Raw genomic sequence first — 22336 nt, 5'->3', positions numbered from 1 at the left:
GAGGACCTATTTTTAGATGGCTGGGTGGGATGAGCTCAAACTCTATGCAACATCTTTGAGTAAGTTACATTAACAGAACGTCAGAGTAATACATTATCATATTTTATTGGTTAGCAGTAGGTTTAGCTGGGAGAAACAAAAACTTAAAATACAGTGATTAATAAAGGTAAAAAGGCATGTCTTAATCACACGAAGGTTAGAAGGTTGGCAGTTCAGGACAGTTATGGCAGCTTTACCCCACAAAGCCTTCAGGACACAGGCTGTCTACCACGTCTCCACCAGTGGGAAGGATAAAAGGCAAAGAAGAAGGGAAGGGAGAAAGAAGAAGGAGATATTGTCAAGGGCTGCAACATGGATGAACCTGGAGGACTTTGTGATCTCCAGATTTAACAAAAAACGAGCAAGGCATGGAAAGGCAAATACGGTACAGTCTCACTCATATGTGGAATCCAGAAGTGCAGAGGAGCATAGTGGTGACTAGAGAATGGTTGGGGCGTGGGGGTTGGGCATGGGGGAGATGTTGGTCAAAGGGTACAAAACTTCAGCTAGAAGAAATCAGTTTGAGAGATCTATTGTACAATATGGTATTGTAAATACATTGCATCCTTGGAAAATGCTAAGACAGTGGGTGTTGTGTTCCCAGAACACAAATGATAACTATATCTAATAATAATATGTTGATTAGCTAGATTTAGTCATTTCACAATGTATATATACTTCACAACTTCATACTGTACATGATAAATATATACAATTTTTTTTGAGGTGGAGTTTTGCATTTTTTTGCTCAGGCTGAAGTGCAATGGCACGATCTCGGCTCACTGCAACCTCTGCCTCCCGGGTTCAAGCAATTCTTCTACCTCAGCCTCCCGAGTAGCTGGGATTACAGGCGCACACCACCATGCCTAGATAATTTTGTATTTTTAGTAGATAGAGGGTTTCACCATGTTGGCCAGGCTGGTCTCGAACTCAGGTGATATGCCCGCCTCGGCTTCCCGAAGTGCTGGGATTACAGGCGTGAGCCACCGCACCCAGCTGAAATATACACAGTTTTATCTGTCAGATAAACATTTTTTTAAAAAATAGAAGAAGACAGGACAGTGGTGGGGCATGTCTGCTGTTTTGAACCAAGATGTTCAGAAGCTGCCGATGCTTGGGCTTTCTCTTGTTCAAAGCAAAGCCTCATGGTCTTCCTTAGTTCCAATGAGGCTGAAAGATGCAGTCCTTATCTGAGGCATCCACTTGCCTTGCTCTTAACTGTAGAACTGAGAGAACTGGGGTTTGTAAATCATTTCTATAAAGGATCAGATATAAAATATTTTAGGTTTTGTGAGCCACATGTGATACTTATTTCTCCTCTCCTTTTCCTCCCCTTCTTTCATCTCTTCCTTCCCTTTCCTCCACACTTAAAAAATGTGAAAACCAGTTCGTGAGCCACTCAAAACCAGGGTGTAGTCCACATCTGGCTCATGGACCATAGTTTGCCCACCTCAGTTTCTTCATCTGTAAAATGAAAAAAATGGTGGTACACATCTATATTTAAATATATATGGTCTTAATATATGTCTACATTAAGATTAAATCAACTCATCTAAAGAAATTGGATTAGTGCCTGGCACTCTGGAAACAGTCTGTGCTGCTGTGAGAAGGAAGTCTGCACTGATCAAGTGCACATGCTCAAAGCCAGAGGAGGTGGATTTGAATCCAGGCTCCACCATTTCCCCAGATGGGTTTCCCTGGGCAGTTTCTTTAACATCTCTGTGCCTCAGCTTCTTCATTTTTCTCTTTGAGTTGTTGTGGGAATTAATGCATAAAACTTCCTAGAATAGTGCCTGGGATACAGTAAGTAGTCATTAATGGCTAACTATTCATACCATACCCCGTGTTTTTATTTATGAATTTTAGAAAATATCTATTGGCTCACCAACAAGAAAAATGAGGAAAAATCACCTTTATTCTATCCCTCTCTCCTCTCTCTTCATCCCAATGTTTGATATATAAATATTTTTAGTTCTTCTATTGATTACTTTGACATTGCCTATAATGTATTTGAACTGTTCTGGTCCATATCAATAACGCCATTCTCTAGCAACACCCTGCTTTGTAAGACGAGTATAAGCGCCTCTGCTGTTTCCTCTGTTTTTCTGTCTTCCATATCCCACTTCTCATCAATTTATACTTTCAGAATGTTGAGGAATGTCTGCATTCCATCTTGTAGTCACAACCAAGCTTTTCCTGCTTTTACAGTAAAGCTATTTATATTTTATGTCATCATAACCTTACAGATTTACTATTTATATTATTTATTACTTCTTACTTATTATTTCTTACTTACTATTTATGTCACCATAACCTTACAAATAATATTTTGTTCTAGACCAAGAGGCATTGTGCCAGGACTACATAGCTACCTTCCTGTGCCCAATGCTCTGACTGCTGGATCACTCTAGGGAGATTGTTTCCAGCATCAAGGTCAAATGAACTCTTTTCTTACACACCTTTTATTTCTTCAAATGAAACCACAGTTTAAATTGCTTTTTACTTAGACCATGGTTTTGTTTATATTTTTTGGATTTTACAGAATTTCTCTTTGCTTTCCCCTACTCCAGCCGTTTCCTCCTTTCTCCCCCAGAGATTGTTCATCTCCCATTGTTTTTTCCTAAAATCATACCACTCATTCCATTTAGTCCTTCTCCATCTCTCCCCACCCTCGAAACCTTTCTATCCTCTTGAATCCACAGCTATCTGAAAATGTCTTTATTTTGATCTCACACTTGAAGTTTTGCTGGAGCTAACATTCTAGGTTAAAAAAAATATTTTCCTTCAAAGCTTTTAAGGTACTATTCTACTAACTTGTAGCAACAGTGTGGCTAGCGAGAAGGCTGATGCAGTTGTGTTTATCATTGCTTTACAGTTGGCTTTATTTTTCCTACTGGAGCTCGTGATGCTCTGACATGTGATGATAATGCGTGTGGGTCGTCACATTGTTTATTTATTGAGCTGCCCACTAGGGGCCTTGTGGTCTGGAAATTCAACTCTTCTTTCACTATGGGAAATTCTTTTATTGTCATTTCCTCCTTTCTACTTTCTCAGTTTTTCAAGGGATTTTTTCATTGTATATTGGAACTTTTGGACTGGTCTCATCTTTTATCTCATATTCTTGGTCTTTGTGTCTTTTTATTTTACATAATATAAAATTTTCTTTTTTCTTGACTTTGTGTTTTAGGGCTTCTCTTCAAATTTTTATTTTGGCAATTCCATATTTAAATTTTCAGAGAGTCCTCTTATTTTCGTTTAAAACTTTTAACTTAAAGTGTAATAATAATAAATAAATAAAATAAAATAAATTTTACATATGGCCTTTTTCTCATTGTGTGAATATAATATGTCACCTACTGTTTTTAATTTTATTATTTGGGGTTTTTAGTTTTTCATTTTTATTATGTTCCCTGAATTTACTCTAATTCCTCTGGGGTCAGTTTTTCCATTGATATATTTGATCTTTCTCTTTCTAGAGATTATTTTTTCATATAACTAATGATCTGTTTATGATTTCTTGGGTAGAAAGTATAACTTTTCTTTGTTTTTATATATTTAAGATATTTTTGAAATTCTGTATCTCTCCTTTGAGTAGAAATTCTGGCTGAAGATTCTGGGCAGAGTAGAGAAGGGTTTAATCACTAGGAATCTTTGCTTTCTAGTAAGCAGATAAGAAAGGAGTCAAGCCGAGGCCCTACCAAATGTCAGAATACGAAGGCTTTTCCCTGGAGGTAGAAATGCATACATGAGATGTCTTGGAGCTTCCCAGACACTTAATGACAAGTCTTTAGAGGACAGCTGTCATGCTTTGCCTGTGTAGACATTCCAACTTCACATCCTCTATAGGCGTGGTTGGAAGAGCTGGGTTGGAGATGAAGGCAGCTGGGACGGCTGCAGGTTTACTTCTGCTTACACCATCCCCATCACTCTTAGACTCACTGGAGTTTGTCAGATATACTGGTATCATCTCTTCTGCAGCCTCTTAACAGAACCTTCTGGGCCACAGCTTTCTCCCTGCATTTCATGCATCCATCCTCTCTCATCTGCTTTTCATTTTCTTGAAATATGGTGAAGTCATCGTTCATTGCCAAGCCCTCTGCAATTGTTGATGTGAAGTTCTTTCCTTTTTCTTTAATCAGTTTTAACATTCATTTCTGTGGGGTATCAGGAAGGATAAGAGACAAATCTGGATGACTAATTTGTCATCTAGATCCCCAAGTCTAGGTTTATCTTTTAAATTGAAAAGTAAGTGATATTGTTATGATGAGTACGTCCTGGAGATCTAGTGTACAGCATGGTGGGTATAGTAAATAATAATAAATACTTGAAACATTTTTAAAAGAAAAAGAAAAGTGATATTTTTCCTAGTTTTGGTTTGTTTGGAAATTAAAGAATATGTTATAATTATATGTATTGAGAAAGCCTAACGTATCAGCCAAGCACATAAACTTTGGAGTCAAAGTCACTTAAGCTCAAATTCAGTGACTGCCATATTGTAACATCTCAGGTTTCTTCTTTATACAATGGGAATAACAATGATAATAATAATAACAATAATACATACCTTACAATCAAATAATAAAATAAAGTGCTAAACATGGTTATTGGCACATGGTAAAACTTGCAAAGTTATCAGCTTTATTATTATTTATTAAAACTTTATAGTTAAATGTGTATATTAACTACAAAATGTTAATAATCTCAGGTGATGTATCTATTTTGATATGTTACTGATTAAGATCCTCCCTCATTAGAAATGGCAGTTATTGGCTGGGCACGGTGGCTCATGCCTGTAATCCCAACACTTTGGGAGGCTGAGGCAGGCGGATCACCTGAGGTCAGGGGTTCGTGACCAGCCTGGCCAACATGGTGAAACTCTGTCTCTATTAAAAATACAAAAATTAGTGGAGCGAGGTGGTGGGCCCCCGTAATCCCAGCTACTTGGGAGGCTGAGGCAGGAGAATGGCTTGAACCCGGGAGGTGGAGGTTGCAGTGAGCCGAGATCCTGCCATTGCACTCTAGCCTGGGCAACAACAGTGAAACTCCATTTCAAAAAAAAAAAAGGCTATTATTGTAGGGGGCTTTAATCAGATTTACTGCATTTCATCAGGGACATAAGACACTTTCCATGCTCCTGTTTAAACTATTCTAACATTTTTCTACATCTTAAAAAATGGCAAGACTCTAATACACACATTGTATTAGTTTTGAAAAAATAAGGCTTCTTTTATAATATCTTGCTCTTTATTAATTGGCTGAACTACTTAGAATGCTTTGGGGGCACATTAAAATTCTACATAAAAGGAGTCTTAATAACTTTTTGATAATAACAAAAGTTCTGACTAAATTTAAATTGATTTCGTACCTTAGTATTAATAGCTGTACAGCTATTATATAGCTATTAATGATGACACAGCTATTATAATTACAGCTATTATAATAAATGAGGGAATTATTTTATTGGTTAAACATTACATTATCATCTGCATAAAATGGTAATTTTTTGCTGCTTGAAAATACTTTATTAGCATAGCCACACTGTGTGTTTATGTTAGCTGAGAATACCTTCCCAATAGAGTATAATATTTCCTTTAAAATAGCAGGAAATGTTAATACTTTCCAGTGAAAATATAAATAAGTACTTAAAATACCTTTAAAAGTATTTTAGGGATGTGTTGTCTGGGTTTGAAAAGAAATGTTTTGCAAATCTGTAATTAAATAAGGTAATCCCATTATTCTACTTAGCTTCTTAGCTTGCTGAGTGGTATCTGTGTATCAGAAATTGTTGATTCATAGCGACCATTTTAATCCTGTGGTGATACTTTTAATTCACTTACAAGTGACTCTCTGTGTGAAAGGTCATAGCTGCTCTGTCCTTTATGGTCAGCGATGGCTCCACTGCGTGTGAGGGATTTGGTTTTTGGCCACGGGGACTTTGCTCGGAGGACTAATGGAACTTTTATAAAGCCAGCACGGTCCCCACCGTTTGTTCTTAGGGGAGATTTTATAATCAAGCTTTAATGACAGAAACGTCTATGGTTGGTACATTCAAGGACATCGTTTCCAGCTCTGTGAGTAAAAGATATGATCACCTCATATAAAGTAGGAAGGGAGATGAGGAGCGTGAACTTGAACTGCGCATCTGGGAGCAGTTCAGGCACGGTGCTCTGTGAAATACGGTAGTAAAACCCAACTCTCCTGAAGCTTTATTGTCTGGCGGGTTAGTAACGGCCTGGTTTATTTCCATACGCAGGGCATTCACTTGCCCTCCTCACCCCCACCTCTGCCCTGGCTAAAGAGCTTTACTTCCTTGAAAGCTCTTTCTGAGCCCTCCAGTCTCTTGTTTATGATAGGCACCTCTTCCTCATCCTGCTGACAAACGCTGCACCTGCTTGCTTCGTCAGTTCAAGAGCTTTGGAGCTGTTGACATTTTGAGTCATTCTATTTTGATGACTGTAGGCAACGTATTTCCAGATTGATACCTCCCTCATCCATATGTCTCTCCCTCACACAAAAATGAAAATATACCTTGTTCTTTCGTTTTGCCATTCACTTTTGTATGACACTTACAAAGGTCAACATCCAAAAAGATTATTGCCTTGTGTAATATAGTTGTGCAGTGGTGATGGGGAAACATATCTTGTCTCGGGATTTTATAAAATGTTCTCAGGAGAGCAACAGTCAATTGAGGTGGATGAAACAGAGTCCTGGGTTCTAGTGCCCTGCTACTCAAACTGCAGGCCCTGGACCAGCAGTTTCAACGTCTTTTCACAGCCCATTAGAAATGCAGAGTCTCAGGAACCACCCCAGATCTCCTGCATCAGAGTGCTTCTTGCAGGCCCCTGGGAGGTTTGTGTGCACGCTGAAATTTGATATGTGCTGCCCAGCTGGCTGAGGCGCATAAGGTTGTTTCTAGAAATGTCACATCTGATGAAAGACTTTACAACAAAATAAACTAACACTCATGTTCTCATCTCCATCGTGGTCTGGAACATCATAAACCATAATGTTTGTTGAATGAATAAACAAAAGACCTGGACTGCTCTTTAGCAACAGCAGTTGGTCTCCTAGATGGTCTTGTAATATTTGGGGGTGAGAGTTATATGGAGTCATATATAAGATCGTAGAGTCTTTTTCTTTTTTCTTTCTTTTGGCTTCATTTTTGTTCTGGATTCCTCCCATGAATATGATTTCTTTTTGTTTCTTTTTGGCTCTGAATACAACGTATTTTTTAAATTGACAAGTAAAAATTGTACATATTTATGGTGTAAAACATGATGTTTTGATATGTGTATACATTGTGGAAGGGCTAAATCAAGCTATTTAGCATATGCATGACCTCACATATTTATCATTTGTTTTGTGGTGTGAACACTTAAAAGCTACTCTCTTAGGAACACTAAAAAGTAATCAGTATACTGTTATTAACTGCAGTTACTATGATGTGTAATAGATCTTTTGAATGTATTCCTTCTGTCTACTTGAAATTTTGTGTCCTTTGACCAGCATCTCCCCAATCCCTCCAGCAGATTTCTATTTTCCTTAAATACAAGGAGGTGGGTGCTCTTTGGCAGCCCATGAGGGGATCCTCCACACCAGCTGTCCCCTCCCCTGGGCCAGGCAGTGGGGAGCTGGGAGCCTAAGGGGCAGAGGCTGCTCTGTGTCCGACAGTACAGCTCTGAAAGCCACGGATCTTGGATGCAGAGCTGCAGCATTGAGTGGGAAGTGCAAGGAAAATCTCACTATTCTATCAAAGTGAATCTCAGAGAACACACACCAACTCTTACTTATAGCAAAATTCTGACCACAGACTTTTTGGGGATAATTTAAAAATCTGGACATATGTTGGAATATGATATAAATTCTAACATTGGTTGAAGGACCCTTGTGATGACCTTGGGCCCTCCTGGATGCCCCAGGATAATCCCTTCATCTGAAGGTCAGCTGATTAGCAGCCTTGATTGCCCTTTGCCATGCAAGGCAACGCAGTCTTCATTTCCAGGGATTAGGATGCGGACTTCTTTAGGAAGCTGTTACTCTGCTCAACACAAATAGATGTGCAGAAAAGGTCTCCAAGTCTTAGCAAATTTTTAGACATTTTAGATTCTTTCCTTCAGTGTCTTAAGAAGTTGAACCTAATTTGCATGTATTTCAACTCAAAGTCAACCGTATCATCCTGATGGAAGCCAGGTGGAAGACCTGTGTTTTATCCCTTTCCACGTGTTTGATTTTGGGGTCTCCAAAGTGAAAAGCAAAAACAAAAACAAAAACAAAACACAAAACTTTAACTTTTTTAAGGGGAGTGGATGGCAATTTATTTTGTGTGAACTAAGATGCCTGGTAAGCTGCATTTTCTCATGTGAACTACAGGGTGCAGTTTGATTAGGGGGGTTGCAGTTAGAAGAGAATAGACTTTCCTAGTATTTAGCATGATTTAGGGTAACTGCCAATCTCATTCACTCCTGTATTTTCACACTTTTGGCCCCAGAACTCCAGGAAATCTTTTCAGTTGTGCCCATTTTAAACTCAGGAAAGAGGCATAGAAACTCTAAGTTCTTTTGTGAAACGTTTCTTGGAACTAGCCCTTCTCATTGTTGCTAAGGTTCACTGCAGGCACTTCGCGGTTTTTTGTTTCTCACTACACAATTAAGACGAGTTTGGTGACAACAGGGAGGTATATTTGAACTTTGGAAGTAGGTGGAGAACAAACAGCACTCCTTTTCCTTGTGTAGACAGCACTAGAGTGTGTCTTAAGGAAAGTAGCTCGTGTTTTCTAGCAGTTCTGTGGGGTGAGTGGCAAGGGGACAGATAACAAAGTGAGTGGAGAAATTTTTATTTTTTATTTGAGAATGAGTGCGAATCATCTATCTTTTCTGCACTGAGGTACAAATGAAATCATACCCAGGTGATATCACAGGCCACTGACACATGATGAAAACCCCGTGATAGACTTTTTGAAACATTAAAATGTGGCTCTTCTGCACTTTGTCCGTGTGGTCATAGAGCCACGTCTTGTCTCTGAGTTTCCTGCACTGGATCCAGGCCCACAGTAGGGGAGGAGCAGAAGGAAGACTGAGTAGTTCTCTGTTTATTCATATGAGTCAGGAACAAATATAAGCTTCAGGGCACATAAAACGTACACCAGTGAAATGTGCCAGGGCTTAAAGAATTGTTGGTCTGGTATTGATGGGAATAGTTCTGTGCTTTAGCTTTATAAAGGCTTTGAAATAATTTCAGTGTTGGAATAATGTTGTAACTCTTTCTTAGAGTTGAGGCTCAGGGTCTGGCTGAATAGCCACACCCTGGCTGTGTGCCAAAAGATGGCATTGAGCTTCGAAGCAAATTTGCATTATTAACTTGCCTTTGCTTTTAGTCAGTATATATATGAAGAAATAAGACTTTGAATCTAGGAAGCCCTACAATCTTGTGTGTAACATAACCCAACTTCATGCTATTTAACACTTTACAGCAAAATTAATCCAGGGTTAAAGGCAAAGCAATGTAACTTACGGAAAACAGCAGTGGTAAAACATTATTTGGCAAATTATTTAAAATGCTCCTAATGCCAATATCAAAGGGTGAGAAAACTTAATAGGCGTGGGAAGAGAAGAGCAATTAAAGGTGTCAAAAGATCCACAAAAATGAGTAGCATCCAAATAACTAAAATAGAACTCGGAAAGGGGTGACATGGGAAAGGAGAGATGACAGCTCAGAGCAGTGGCCCCTGAGCACCCTTTGTGTGGCCACGAGGAGTGGCCTTGGGCTGGCCCCAAGCCCAGCAGAGGGTGAAGCGATGGTGCGGAAGGAGTGAGCTCAGCCGTCTTTAGACCTCAGACCTCGGACCTCAGCCCAGTGTTTTGCCACTGTACACAGGGCAGAAGCCATCAGGCAAGTCTGTGGAGCTGGGGGCTCCTTAAAATTCAAAACTTGTGTGGAGGCAGGATTCTGAGGTGGCCCCCAAGATCTGCGAACCCTGCTGTACGTGCCCTGCAGGATCTGGAACTGTGAGCAGGACAGAGCTTACCTCCATGGTGAGGTTTTGTCGTGTGGTACAGTCGGTTTAGGAAGGGAGTTTATCCCCAGTGGCCTGACCGAATGTCCTGAGCCCTTGAGATCTGGGTCTAGAGGTTGGGAAGGAACACGTCAGAGAAGCCCAGAGGGAGAGGAGTTTGATGTGAGAGAGTTTTCTGTAGTTGACTTTGAGGATGGGGGTCCACATAGTAAGGACTGAGAATGGCCTCTTGGGGCTCAGAGCAGCCTGGTGCCAGCCAGCAAGAGAACAGGGACTCAGTCCTACAGCTACAGGAGTGAACCCTGCCACAGCCTGGATGGGCTTGGAAGAGGTTTCCAGCCCCAGATGACCTCAGATCCTGCCAAAGCCTTGATTTTGGACTCATGAAACCCTAAGCAGAGAACCCAGCCACTTTGCAAGTGAACTTCTGACTTAAAGAACTGTGAGCTACTTGGGAGGCTGAGGTGGGAGGGTCGCTTGAGGCCCAAGTTTGAGATTAGTCTGGGCAACATACTGAGACCCTGTCTCCCCCAGCACAAAAAAATTTTAAAAATAGCTGGGTTTGGTAGCTTGTGCCTGTAGTCTCAGCTATTCAGGAGACTGAGGTAGGAGGATTGACTGAGCTCAGAAGGTTGAGGCTGTAGTGGGCTGTGATTGGGCACTGCACTCTAGCCTGGGTGACAGAGCAAGACATTATCTTTAAAAAAAAAGAAAGAGAAACAGAAAAAAAAGAGGCCAGGTGTGATGGCTCACACCTGTAATCCCAGCATTTTGGGAGGCCAAGGCGGGCAAATCACTTTAGTCCAGGAGTTTGAGACCAGCCTGGGCAACATGGCAAAACCCTGTCTCTACTAAAAATACAAAAATTAGCTAGGGGTGGTGGCCTGTGCCTGTGGTCCCAGCTACTCTGGAGGCTGAGGTGGGAGGATCACCTGTGCCCAGGAGGTCGAGGCTGCAGTGAACTGAGATGTACCAATCTACCTTGGATACTGAGGGATGACTGTAATTCCTATAATTCATAAAATATTTTATATCAAAATTATAGATTTTAATTTTGTATTAGGAATCCCCAGAAGATATGCCATTAAAAAGGATGTCTGGCCGGGCACGGTGGCTCATGCCTGTAATCCCAGTACTTTGGGAGGCCGAGGTGGGCGGATCATCTGAGGTCAGGAGTTTGAGACCAGCCTGGCCAACATGGTGAAACTCTATCTCTACTAAATATACAAAATTAGCCAGACATGGTGGCACATGCCTGTAATCCCAGCTACTCAGGAGGCTGAGGCAGGATAATTGCTTGTACACAGGAGTTGGAGGTTGCAGTGAGCCGAGAACATGCCATTGCACTCCAGCCTGGGCAACAAAAGTGACACTCTGTCTCAAAAATGAATAAATAAATAAATGAATAAAATTTAAAAGGAAGTCCTTGAAATAGATGTAGCCATATTCCCTACATAAAGATGCCATCTAATTCATCCTGACATTCTTAAACTGGTAGATATTGTCACCAAATATAAAGGGTATGGGCTATAGTTGTAGGTCAGTTTGAACTTAAAACTTGGGAAACAGAAGGAAAACCTCTTAGGCTGTAGCTAGTTACAATTATTCACACAGCCATTCTTCATGACCACTGGCGAGTGAAGAAAGGTTTTGTACACCCACTGCATCTGAGGCTGAGGTGCCCTGCAATGCAGCTTACTGAGGGCTTTGATGTAGATAGAGAAGCTTTGGTATCCCTGAGAAACGCCAACTCTATCAGCAATAAAGGCAGTTGATGGCTTAGCCCGAATAAATTAGTTACAAGACAGCATGTGATATATCTTTCTGGGTTTAGCCCCACACCTTCACACTGCTCATCTGAGGTATTTCCCTGACACACATGGGAGAGACTAAGTAATTGAACCATCAGTGAATGGAGCTATATAGATACATCACCAGTCTGAGTCCTTCGAGCCAATAGTGGAATAGTTTTCTTTTAAACCCCATTCAGAGTGACTTTGGCTCATTTCTTCTTTTCACTCGTCCAGGGTGGAAAGATAGAGAGAGTACTTGCAGTTTCCACTCACTAGTAGACAGGCATAATAATAATCAAAGAACATGAAACTGAAGCCAAAACCTTTGCCAGACGAAGAGAAACAAATTGCACCGAAAAATCATCCCAGACTTCCTGGCGGTTGCAGTGGCAGCTCTTGTTATTGTATTTCTCAGCCCCATCTTTCTGTTTTTCTTATGGCAAATGTCACATTGTTGACTTTCCATCGTGTAATGTCAAAAAGAATGATCATTAAGCAACCTTTTGAAAAAACAAACATCTTTACTTGGTCTATGAAAGATCTGGAATAAAGAAATTTCTGAAAATGTTTTCTGCATATTTCAATGGAGTGGGCACTTAAAAAGGCGATGTTATTCTGAAAGCACTAGTTGATTGTTAGAAACTGGTTGCATTACTTTTTGTCAAAATCATACACAATGAAGGTAGATGGTTTTCCTATTATTTTAAGCATAGAAAAAATATTTTATGAATGACTAAGGATTGTGACAGAAACTACAGAAGGGGCATGGTAGGGGTCACTCTGAGCCTCAGGGCTTACAACCCCCACCTGCGTACACCACGCTGGAGTGTCAGAAAGTGTGGTCTTTTTTAAAAAAATTAATTGATTATATTTCATTAACAGACACAAGCATGGCTCCTTGCCCAATTCCAGTGTTTGTATATTTTCTGTCTTAATAAATATGCATGTATCACTGACAAGCTAGGAAGCAAGACGTCACTAGGTCTACCCGCTTCCCATCTCACCCAACCTCACTTGGGAATAGAGGAAACCTATGGGAAGGCTCTTCCCGAGTTCCTCCTTCTCCAGTTAATACTGGTGCCATTGCTTTTATCCAGCTAGCTATGCTCATCTTTCCTTTCTTCCCGACTATGGGAGAGCAGAAAATGTAGACCTGGCTCCTGAGATGGCTCTGTGAATTTTCTTGTATTTTCACCTAAATAATCCAAGAAGCAGGCTGGTGTGGTGGCTCACACCTGTAATCCCAGCACTTTGAGAGGCCAAGGTGGGCAGATCACTTGATGCCAGGAGTTTGAGACCAGCCTGGTCAACATAGTGAAACCCCATCTCTACTGCAAATAGAAAAAATTAGCTGAGTGTGGTGGTGCGCACCTGTAATTCCACCTACCTGGGAGGCTTGAGGCAGGAGAATCGCTTGAACCCGGAAGGCAGAGGTTGCAGTGAGCCGAGATTGTGGCATTGCCCTCCAGCCTGGGCAACAGAGGGAGACTCTGTCTCAAAAATAATAATTAATAATAATAATAATCCAAGAAGCAGTGGGGACATTGATGAAGAATCCCATCCACTGCATTTCTGTTTACTAGTGCCTCCTGAGATAGGAGTTAACTAGGTGAAGAGGGCTTGAAGGAGTATTCTCTGGGAAGAATAGACAAGATGGGCTGCAGGGAAGGGGAGATAATGGGACAAGAGGGGAGACAGATGGGGGCCACAGAGGCTGAACTTGTAGGCCATGTGGAGATTATTGCTTCTATTCTAACAGCACCGGGAGGCCTCTGAAGTGTGTAATTGGAGGGTGAAGGGAGGTGCTTACGGAGGACACCTTGTTGGCTGCAGTATGGAGAATGAATTAAAGGAGGGAACAGAGAGGATATCCAATCAGGAGGATATTCCAAGGTCCCAAGGTTCCAAGGTTCCAAAGCAAGAGGTGGTATAGGTTGAGCATCCCTAATGCAAAAATCTGAAATCTGAAATCCTCCAAAATCCAAAACTTTTTGAGTGCTGACATGACACCACAGGTAGAAAACTTCAAACATAAGTACTTAATACAAACTTTAATTCATGTGCAAAATTACCAGAAATATTGTGTAAGATCACCTTCAGGCTATGTGAATAAAGCATATATGAAACATATATGAAATCCGTGCTTTGATTTGTGTCTTATCCCCAAGATATCTTATTATGTATATGCAAAATATTCCAAAATACTAAAGTATCTGAAATTTGAAACTTTTCTGGTCCCAACCATTTTGGATAAGGAATAATTCACCTGTATTCCCTTGGGTTTGGGAGGAGGTGGAACAGAGAGGATTGGTGGTGGATCCCTGAGGCAGGCGAGAGGGAGGGAGATGTCAAGGAAGATTCCTGGATCTTGGGGTGGTTATGCTATTCTCAGGAACCTAGAACCTTGGAAAAGAATATTTACTTATTTAAAATTTTACTTTGTTTCAGGTAGAGAGCTTGCATTCCATTTTGGATGTATTAAGTTTAGGGTTCATTTTAGAAAATCAAGAGATGTCTGAAGTCATAAGATAGCTGATTTCTCTATTGCCTGGTGGGAAAAAAATAAGAAAATAAGGTAAAATTCTAGAAATAAAATTCTACAGTGTTAAGGCAAAAATCAGAGAAATTTCCAATTCAATTTTCAAGATACTCTTTCACATACTATAATTTTGTTATTTTTTCAACAAATTGTGGCAACATTTGCATTTTCATGATGACTTTTGAGACAAGAAAAGGGACGGTGGTGACAGAAGGTGGGTGGAGCAAGCTTGGAGTTAGCTCTGCAGGTCGGCATGCGGGAATGGGCAGTTGGTGAAGGGTTCCTTCTGAGTCCTTGGATTTGCTGAGAGAAATGAGCAACGTGGAGCAGGTGAGCTGGTTCGATCCAGTCCTTGGAACCATAACAGCCAATGGAGAGAAAATACAGAGGTAGCTTTAAGGAAAACATTTTTTTTTTCACAGTTCCCTTTGGAAGACATACCATTTAGCTTGATTTTTGGGCAGAGAGACAGAAAAAGCCCCATAGTCCCTCTTAAACCTCAATCCTTGGAAACATAATTTATCAGATCCTTAAAATGAGGCAGATATTTTCCTACAAGAATGTCCTGTATACCACAAAAAGAAAACTAAATAAAAGTTCAGTATCTGTCTAGTTATCCTTGTATACATTTAAATTTTCTAGTGGTATCATTGCATGATCCAGATTTCTACAAGGAAGAGTGATCTTTCTATGGAAATTTCAAAGGTGAGTTACACATGTGGGTGCTTTCCTTTTCAGCCAAAACACATACTAGTAAGAACAATTGTAAATCAGGTGAAATAATTTTCTTCCTTCCCATTTCAAACCATACTATCAAGGGAGAATTAGGAAACAGAATTTGCCAAACGTAACATTTTTTAGTGAAAATTTGTTTATTTATGTCTTTATTAAATTAGAGAATGAAAGCAGCAAATAGAGATAAGCTAAATATTGTTGGCTAAAGTGTAGAAGAAAGATTCAAATTATTTCAACTAAATAGGGATTCTGTGGCATCAAATATCCGGCAGAGAATATAAAACAAAGGTTTAAATGTACAGCATGTGTCTGTTCTCAGGGCCATCAAACTGCATTTTTATCACCTCGTCTGAGAGAGCAAAGGGCCTCTCCTGCGATATCTGAGTGCTGCCCTGTAGCTGACAGGTGTCTCTCCTGGGATAGGGCTGACCCACTCCCCCAGAACAATTCTGTTTCACAGAAGTGGAGCCCATTGGCTTTTCTGAGACTTTGCAGAAACTTGTCTATTTCTTCTGATAAAAGCAATAAACTTGTGCAATTATTAATACTCAATACATGTACAAGTGAGATATTCTATTTGGCGTGGCCCAGTTTCAGTAGCAAGAGAGCCATACTTTCCTGGGACTGAAAGATTCACATATTGTACACAATAGTTTTTAATGAAAGTAGGCACAATTTCAAAGTTTATCAAATATAAAGAAAGTACTAGAAAAGTATGTTCCTCTTTTTCTTTTCTGGAACTTATTTTTCTTATTTTCAGGTTTCCTTTATCTCTTCCCTGGCTTCGCCCCCACCCCAGTTTTCTTTCCCTGACTTTACTTTGGCATTGCCTTTTTCTATCATTTGCTCCTTTCAAGAATCTTATTGTTCTCAGAGTTCTTTCTTCTTCTTCACAACATTTTTTTCTGTTTCCTTTCAACTGAAACTACAACCTATTGGTTCAGCCCACTGGCTTGCTAGGTAAGAAAATGTGTCTGACTCATTGGCTAAATATAGGTGCCCCTGCTGAGCTGGTTGCTTTCTTTAAAGAATTCTCAGTGGTGTTCTCTCAGCTGCTTGTCTTTTCTATTTAACCTTTTTTTTTTTTTTAATAGAAAATGCTATGCAGGTCTTATTTAGTAGAATGATTAGTTATAGAAGAAACTGCAGAAAACTTTCCCTTGAGAAACGTTTAGGATAACCTAGCTGAAGAATTTCCTCTTTAATACCTCAAATATGTATCTCACTTTACATATTTGAGCTCATCAATGGCTCAAAGCAAAGTTGAGTCTCTCCTCTGGCCCAAGAAGGTGGACATCAGCTTGATGGATGAGAACTTGGGCTCTAGAGTCTGACAGACTTGTATCTGAATCCCACCTCAGTTTATGTTGTTCTATGTTTGGGGCAAGTGATTCAGCCTCCCCAAGAGCCAGTATGCTCAGCTGCAAAATGGAGATAATAATTAGGTCCTCCAGGGTTGTTGAAATGATTAGTTCTATGTGCCTTGTGCATAGGCAGGACCCATTGGTCATATATATATATATTTTGTTTGTTTGTTTTTTGACAGAGTCTTGCTCTGTTGCCCAGGCTGGAATGCAGTGGCACAATCTCGGCTCACTGCAACCTCTGCCTCCCAGGTTCAAGCGATTCTCCCGCCTCAGCCTCCTGAGTAGCTGGGATTACAGGCATGCGCCACCACGCCTGGCTAATTTTTGTATTTTTAGTAAAGACAGGATTTCACCATGTTGGTCAGGCTGGTCTCGAATTCCTGACCTCGTGATCCCCCTACCTTGGCCTCCCAAAGTGCTGGGATTACAGGCTTGAGCCACCGTGCCCGGCCTGCATTTTAGTTAAAAAAAAAAAAAAAAAAAAAAAAAAAAGCTACATTAGATGCTCTTGGGAAAGTGGAAGTAGTATCTTTAACATGCCTTCTATAGCAATAAGAATGAATGAATTCTAGGTCCAAGTGAATATGCTTCCATCGTAAGAGAATTCTCTTCTCTTGAATTCAATGTGTAAAGAAACACTGAGCAAGGTTTAGGCACTTGAAGATATTTCTTAGAGAAAATGTTGTGATCATAGTTCTTAGAAATGTTAAAAAAGAAAAACATGCATCAATACAGCATAAGTGGGATGATGCTCAAAAATTAAGATCCATCAATCATATATTTCTACCCCATTACAAATATTATTTATCCAAAATAGTAATTTGATTTTAATTACTGTTTAGGTTGTTTAGTATAATATTTAATATATAACTGGTAACAATGAGTGGTTATACTTATAATGGCAAATGTAACTCATTTGGTTATATTTATTTTATATATTTGTTTTATAAATGTATATATACATACACACATACATATTTGTTTTATATGTATATATACATACACACTTGAATAAATATATATTTACATATACTTTTTCACACAGAATTATTTGACAAAATTGCTTGACTTTTATTAAATAATTCTGTGATGATGGCAGAATGTGAGAAGAGGAGTCCTTCATTCTCTCCTCCAAAACCCCAAAGCATTTACTGAGTGCTTGCTAAATGGGAAGATTTGGCTCCAATTATCAATTATTATAGGTAATTGAAATGACACCTTAAGCCAACCGCTCATCCACTACATAAAATCATGATCCCCAAACTGGTGTTTCCCAGTGGGACTTTGCACTTTGATATGCACACGTGTCCCCCATGAAGGACCAGTTTAAAAAGAGAAAAGTTTTCAGTAATTACAACAATGTGTGATAGTTCACTTATTCATTCATTCAGTCATTACATTTACTCTGTGACTATGATTTTTGAGCCATTTTGCTAGTTTTTACATATGCAGATGTTAATGTCCTACCTAAAGCTGTGTCTTCCCTGCATTTTCTCCCTTTTCGTTTCTCATTGCAGAGACGGGCTGGGTATGTCAAGTCTTGGTTACTTGTGTATGTGTGCATAGGCCTATACAATGCTCTGGAAATGACCTCTTAAAAAATAAATTTTGTATTCACATGGACCTTAACATAATTTAGGAGATATATGTGTGTGCATAGATATATGCATATATTAATATATGTATATATTATATAACAAATATTATTCATAAATACAGATAAACATATTATATGTGAATAAATATATAAAGGATATGAACACATATTTGTTTACATCTATTATCACAGCTTCAAGTGGAGGTGGGTTGACAAGATGTACAGTGTGCTAATTGAAACTACCCCTTCCAGTCGAAGGTGTGGCTCCTTAGATGGCTTGGCAAACAAGAGGTTAAGGGAGGGGGAGAAACAGACAAAGTCAATAAAGTCAGTTAATTGCAGGAAGCAGTTGCACAGCAACTGCAGCCAGGGAAACTGTTCTCTAGGAGCAGCCAATCACACAGGGGACCCAGTTCACCAGGAAGTGCTTGCCTCTGCCTGCCCCTTCCCCTGTGCCTTGGCTCTCCTCTGTCTGTCTGCCTCTCCATCTCTCTGTCTCTGTGGCTCTCTTTTTCTGTGCCTCTTAGGCGCTCCTTCTTGGTCTCTGCTTCTTTGCCTTTTTTGTCTGTGGGCTCGCTAAGATGTACACACACGTGGTTTATAGAGGCAGCAAGGAGCCCGTTTCTAGCTTGTCCTCTTCAGTTCTTAGCCCATTGCCCAGACACAGTGTTCACGTAAGGTAAAGGCAGGCTGTGCACTTCCTGCCCACGCCATCACCTGCCAGGTGAGCACAGGGCATGCCCAGAGCCGGTCATCTCCACATGTTGGATGTGATGTCATAATGCGTGGAAGCTGTACTGTATCAGCATAAACTCCAACCTAGCCATCAAAGTAACTTGACTTACGATAGAGAATGACCTGGATGCCATATATTCTACCAAAAGGTTCCTGGGCCCACCATTTATTTTTCCTTTATCTCCTATAATGAATTTTAGATTAGCTACTCTTTGAAAAGGGACATTTGCTATCGGAGTTCTGGTTAGGCTTTTAATTTTTATGAAAGAGGTGTATTGGCCTACAGCCTAGAAGACTCTTATTATTTTTTGTCTCTCAAAGCTGGGACTGGCAGGGGATTTCCTAGTATTAATTAATTAACGCCAGGCTCTTTTGGCAAAATGCCTCGAAAGGGATGGCCTGTCCTGAGTGACCCTCTCGTGTACTTTATGCCAGTGATCATTAAACTGGCAAAATTGTCTCACCTGGTTCCTCAGGACATTAAATGAAGATAAGAATAATAAACTTCATATTAACATAAAGGAAATATTAATCTACTAGACACATAAAGAAAACGGTGTAAAATTCCTTCTGCATCCTAGGGCAAATGAATATCTTAAGATCATTTTTAATGTTTTTTGCCCATGGTTCAATAAGAGTCCTGAGATATTCTGGGCTCTAGCACACTCAGTCATTTATAAAACATGTAAACATGCAAGACAAAGGGCCCTTGGAGCCCACCGTGGCACTCCATAGCACAACAGAAACATTCACTAGCCAACCCACTATTAGCTACGAAAACAGATGGCTGATCCTTTTGGATACAGAGAAGGGGAGGTAGTGATATTTTGCAACCTTTTTAACCTTCTGGAGAAGCACTAATAGAAATTGGGTTTGGGTTCAACCTTCCCTGGTTTCTTTCTTTTCTTTTTTTGTTTCTTTCTTTTTTTTTAGACAGAGCCTCGCTCTGTGGCCCAGGCTGGAGTGCAGATGCAGTGGTGCAATCTTGGCTCACTGCAACCTCTGCCTCCTGGGTTCAAGCAATTCTTCTGCCTCAGCCTCCTGAGTAGCTAGGATTACAGGCACCCACCACAATGCCTGGATAATTTTTGTATTTTTAGTAGAGACTGGGTTTTGCCATGTTGGCCATGTTGGTCTTGAACTCCTGACTTCAGTTGATCCACCTGCCTCGGTCTCCCAAAGTGCTAGGATTACAAGCATGAGCCACCATGCCTGGCCTCCTGGTTTCTTTAGAGACTTCAGGATTTCACAAACAAGGAACGTGTTCAGAGAGGATCCTGAGCTGTCATGAACATGCTCTTTGGGATCTGCTGGAGGCTGTCTCCATGAAGCCTGCACTCACAGGAAGTAAGAAATCTTCCAACACCTGTAACTCAAAGGGCAGTGCCAGCCTTTTTTTTTTTTTTTACCATTTCTCCACAGATGGAGACACACACACACAGAAACACACACACACACACACACACACACATAAATACATGCATAGGAATACACACCCAGAAACACACATAGAAAAACAGATGCAGAAACACAAACACAAACACACACAAATAGACACACACAGCATTCCTCTAAAAAGATTCTCCTGTTTTTTAGTCATTGGAATATGCTGGGTGAGAGAAAGCAGAATTAATACCAAATTTTAAAATGAACTGAAATAAATGAATCCTCAGGGCACAAAAGGTGATGTTAGAGAACCAAGGAAATATGGCTGGGGAAAGTTGCGTTTTATGAATCAGTCACATTACCAAGTTTTAATGTGAATTATTTGAGGGCTGGGGGAGAGCCAGCACCCCCAATAGATGTGGTACATCCCTCCCCCAGCAGACAGAAACTTCCCGTTTATCAGCAGTGGGCCTGGCACACTTTCATCCACATGCAGTCCACTTACCAAAAAATGCTGGTATTTTTTTTATTGGAAAAATTAAACTGTAAATTATCTCTCAAAAGCTTGCATCTTTATGATAATTTTCTAAATTATTATCATTTTTACAAATATATGAAGTCCTACATGCCTAGGATAATGCTGTATATGGTAGGCTGGAGATCTCAGTGCTAGTGAGCACATAATGTGAAGTGCTGCTTAATCAGACCTGGGTGATGGAGGGAGCTTATGTTGTCATTAAAATGTCTTTAAGAGTTTTGTAAATCCTGGAAGTGTGAACACCATGTGCTAAATTGTGGATGTGAATCATGGTTCACATCCATGTTTTCATTTCTCAATAACAGTCAATAAATGCTAGTTATTATTATTATCACCATCATTATTCACAGATGGAGTAGAAAGGTATATCAGAGAGCAAACCTGTGTTGAGCCACTACTGTGTCTAAGCCTCGTGGCCATATGATAAGGTCTCTTCATCCTACTAATGTCATTTTACATATAGCAAGTTATGGCCAAGACCACCCTGTTAATAAGTTCTCATTCTGGTCCTATTACTCTAGGCTGCTCGTGATTGAATAGCTTAGGAGGCAGGAAAACTATTGAGGCTTAATTAGTACAGGATTTGCACTTCCCTTGTGTGATTCAAACTTAATCACAAACCAAAACTAGGATGAATACTCAGAGATAGCTCTCTTTCCTGGGGCTATTCTCTCACTCTGCTAAGGCTATAGGATGCACTTTAGGCTTTGTTTCTTGAGTTAAGATTATTCTCATGTTCCTGAAAGAAAACATTCCTCCTCCCATTTTCCAGATGGGATATCAGCACAGGTAGCCATCTCAGCTATAAAGACAATTGCAAGAATAAAATCTCTGAACATGAATTAATGATCATAGCTGAGTCTCCTATTGAGTTTTCCTGTGGAAGCATTTCAGGAGCCTGAATTACAGCTAAAATGGAGTGGCTTTGTGTGTGCCCTGTAAGAGGGAGGTATTGCATTGAAGCAAGTGTTGGCTCAACTTCATAATGAGAAACCTGGATACTGATGGGGTTTAGCTTTGATTGGATTCTGGAACTTACTGCACTCAGCTGGGTGTAGTCCAGCAACTGGGTGGCACTGGCAGAGGGAGCCCTGCTTCTGCAACAATTACTGGTCAATTGCAAGTGATTATAATGGCACCGTGTCTAAAACAATATGGAGAAAAAATGCCTGAAAAACATAAAACAGTGGTGCTCTACCACAGAATGAGCAAGTTGCTGAGAATATCAGAGTAACCAGAGATGTTGGAAATTCAAGTTGCTACTCTAGATCACAGGACAATGGTACCCTTTTAACAAATCTCCTTGGTATATTTTCAACTATGTCCTTCATCACAGGTAGTCAGAATAAGATGCAGTGGGTTCTATACAGACTCTCTCTTGGTGAGTTGAGATGGCTGGACAGAATTCAAGAAAGAGCAGGGCTGACCAGTCTTGCCACATGAATCCATCCAATAAATAAGAAGAACTGAGAAAAATACCTTACTGCATCTAACTTCACTTCTACCAAAAGAGACATCCCATTGGTATGGGAGAATGCAGATTCCAAGAGATGACTATATCTGGAAAACGTTCTGGAGATCCTTATGAGTACATG

At 40.2% G+C, this 22336-nt stretch overlaps 1 protein-coding gene across 25 annotated transcripts in view, besides 2 other annotated features; it reads left to right on the top strand.

Annotated features, from left to right (window-relative positions):
* Window positions 1-22336, top strand: part of ST18 (ST18 C2H2C-type zinc finger transcription factor) — a 299042-nt gene that overhangs the window by 60372 nt on the left and 216334 nt on the right. The gene's annotated exons all lie outside the window — the stretch shown is intronic.
* Window positions 3752-3952: a silencer, noted in NCBI's record as "peak7016 fragment used in MPRA reporter construct". NCBI's record gives its function as "represses an SCP1 promoter by STARR-seq MPRAs in K562 erythroleukemia cells {active_cell/tissue: K562}" and the evidence as "EXISTENCE:reporter gene assay evidence [ECO:0000049][PMID:32103011]".
* Window positions 16157-16206: an enhancer, noted in NCBI's record as "active region_27345". NCBI's record gives its function as "activates an Ori minimal core promoter by ATAC-STARR-seq in GM12878 lymphoblastoid cells {active_cell/tissue: GM12878}" and the evidence as "EXISTENCE:reporter gene assay evidence [ECO:0000049][PMID:35858748]".

This window comes from Homo sapiens, chromosome 8, assembly GCF_000001405.40.
Source record: "Homo sapiens chromosome 8, GRCh38.p14 Primary Assembly".
Lineage (NCBI taxonomy): Eukaryota > Metazoa > Chordata > Mammalia > Primates > Hominidae > Homo > Homo sapiens.
The sequence above is the reverse complement of the archived record's forward strand: the minus strand, read 5'-3'. Positions and strand labels throughout refer to the sequence as shown.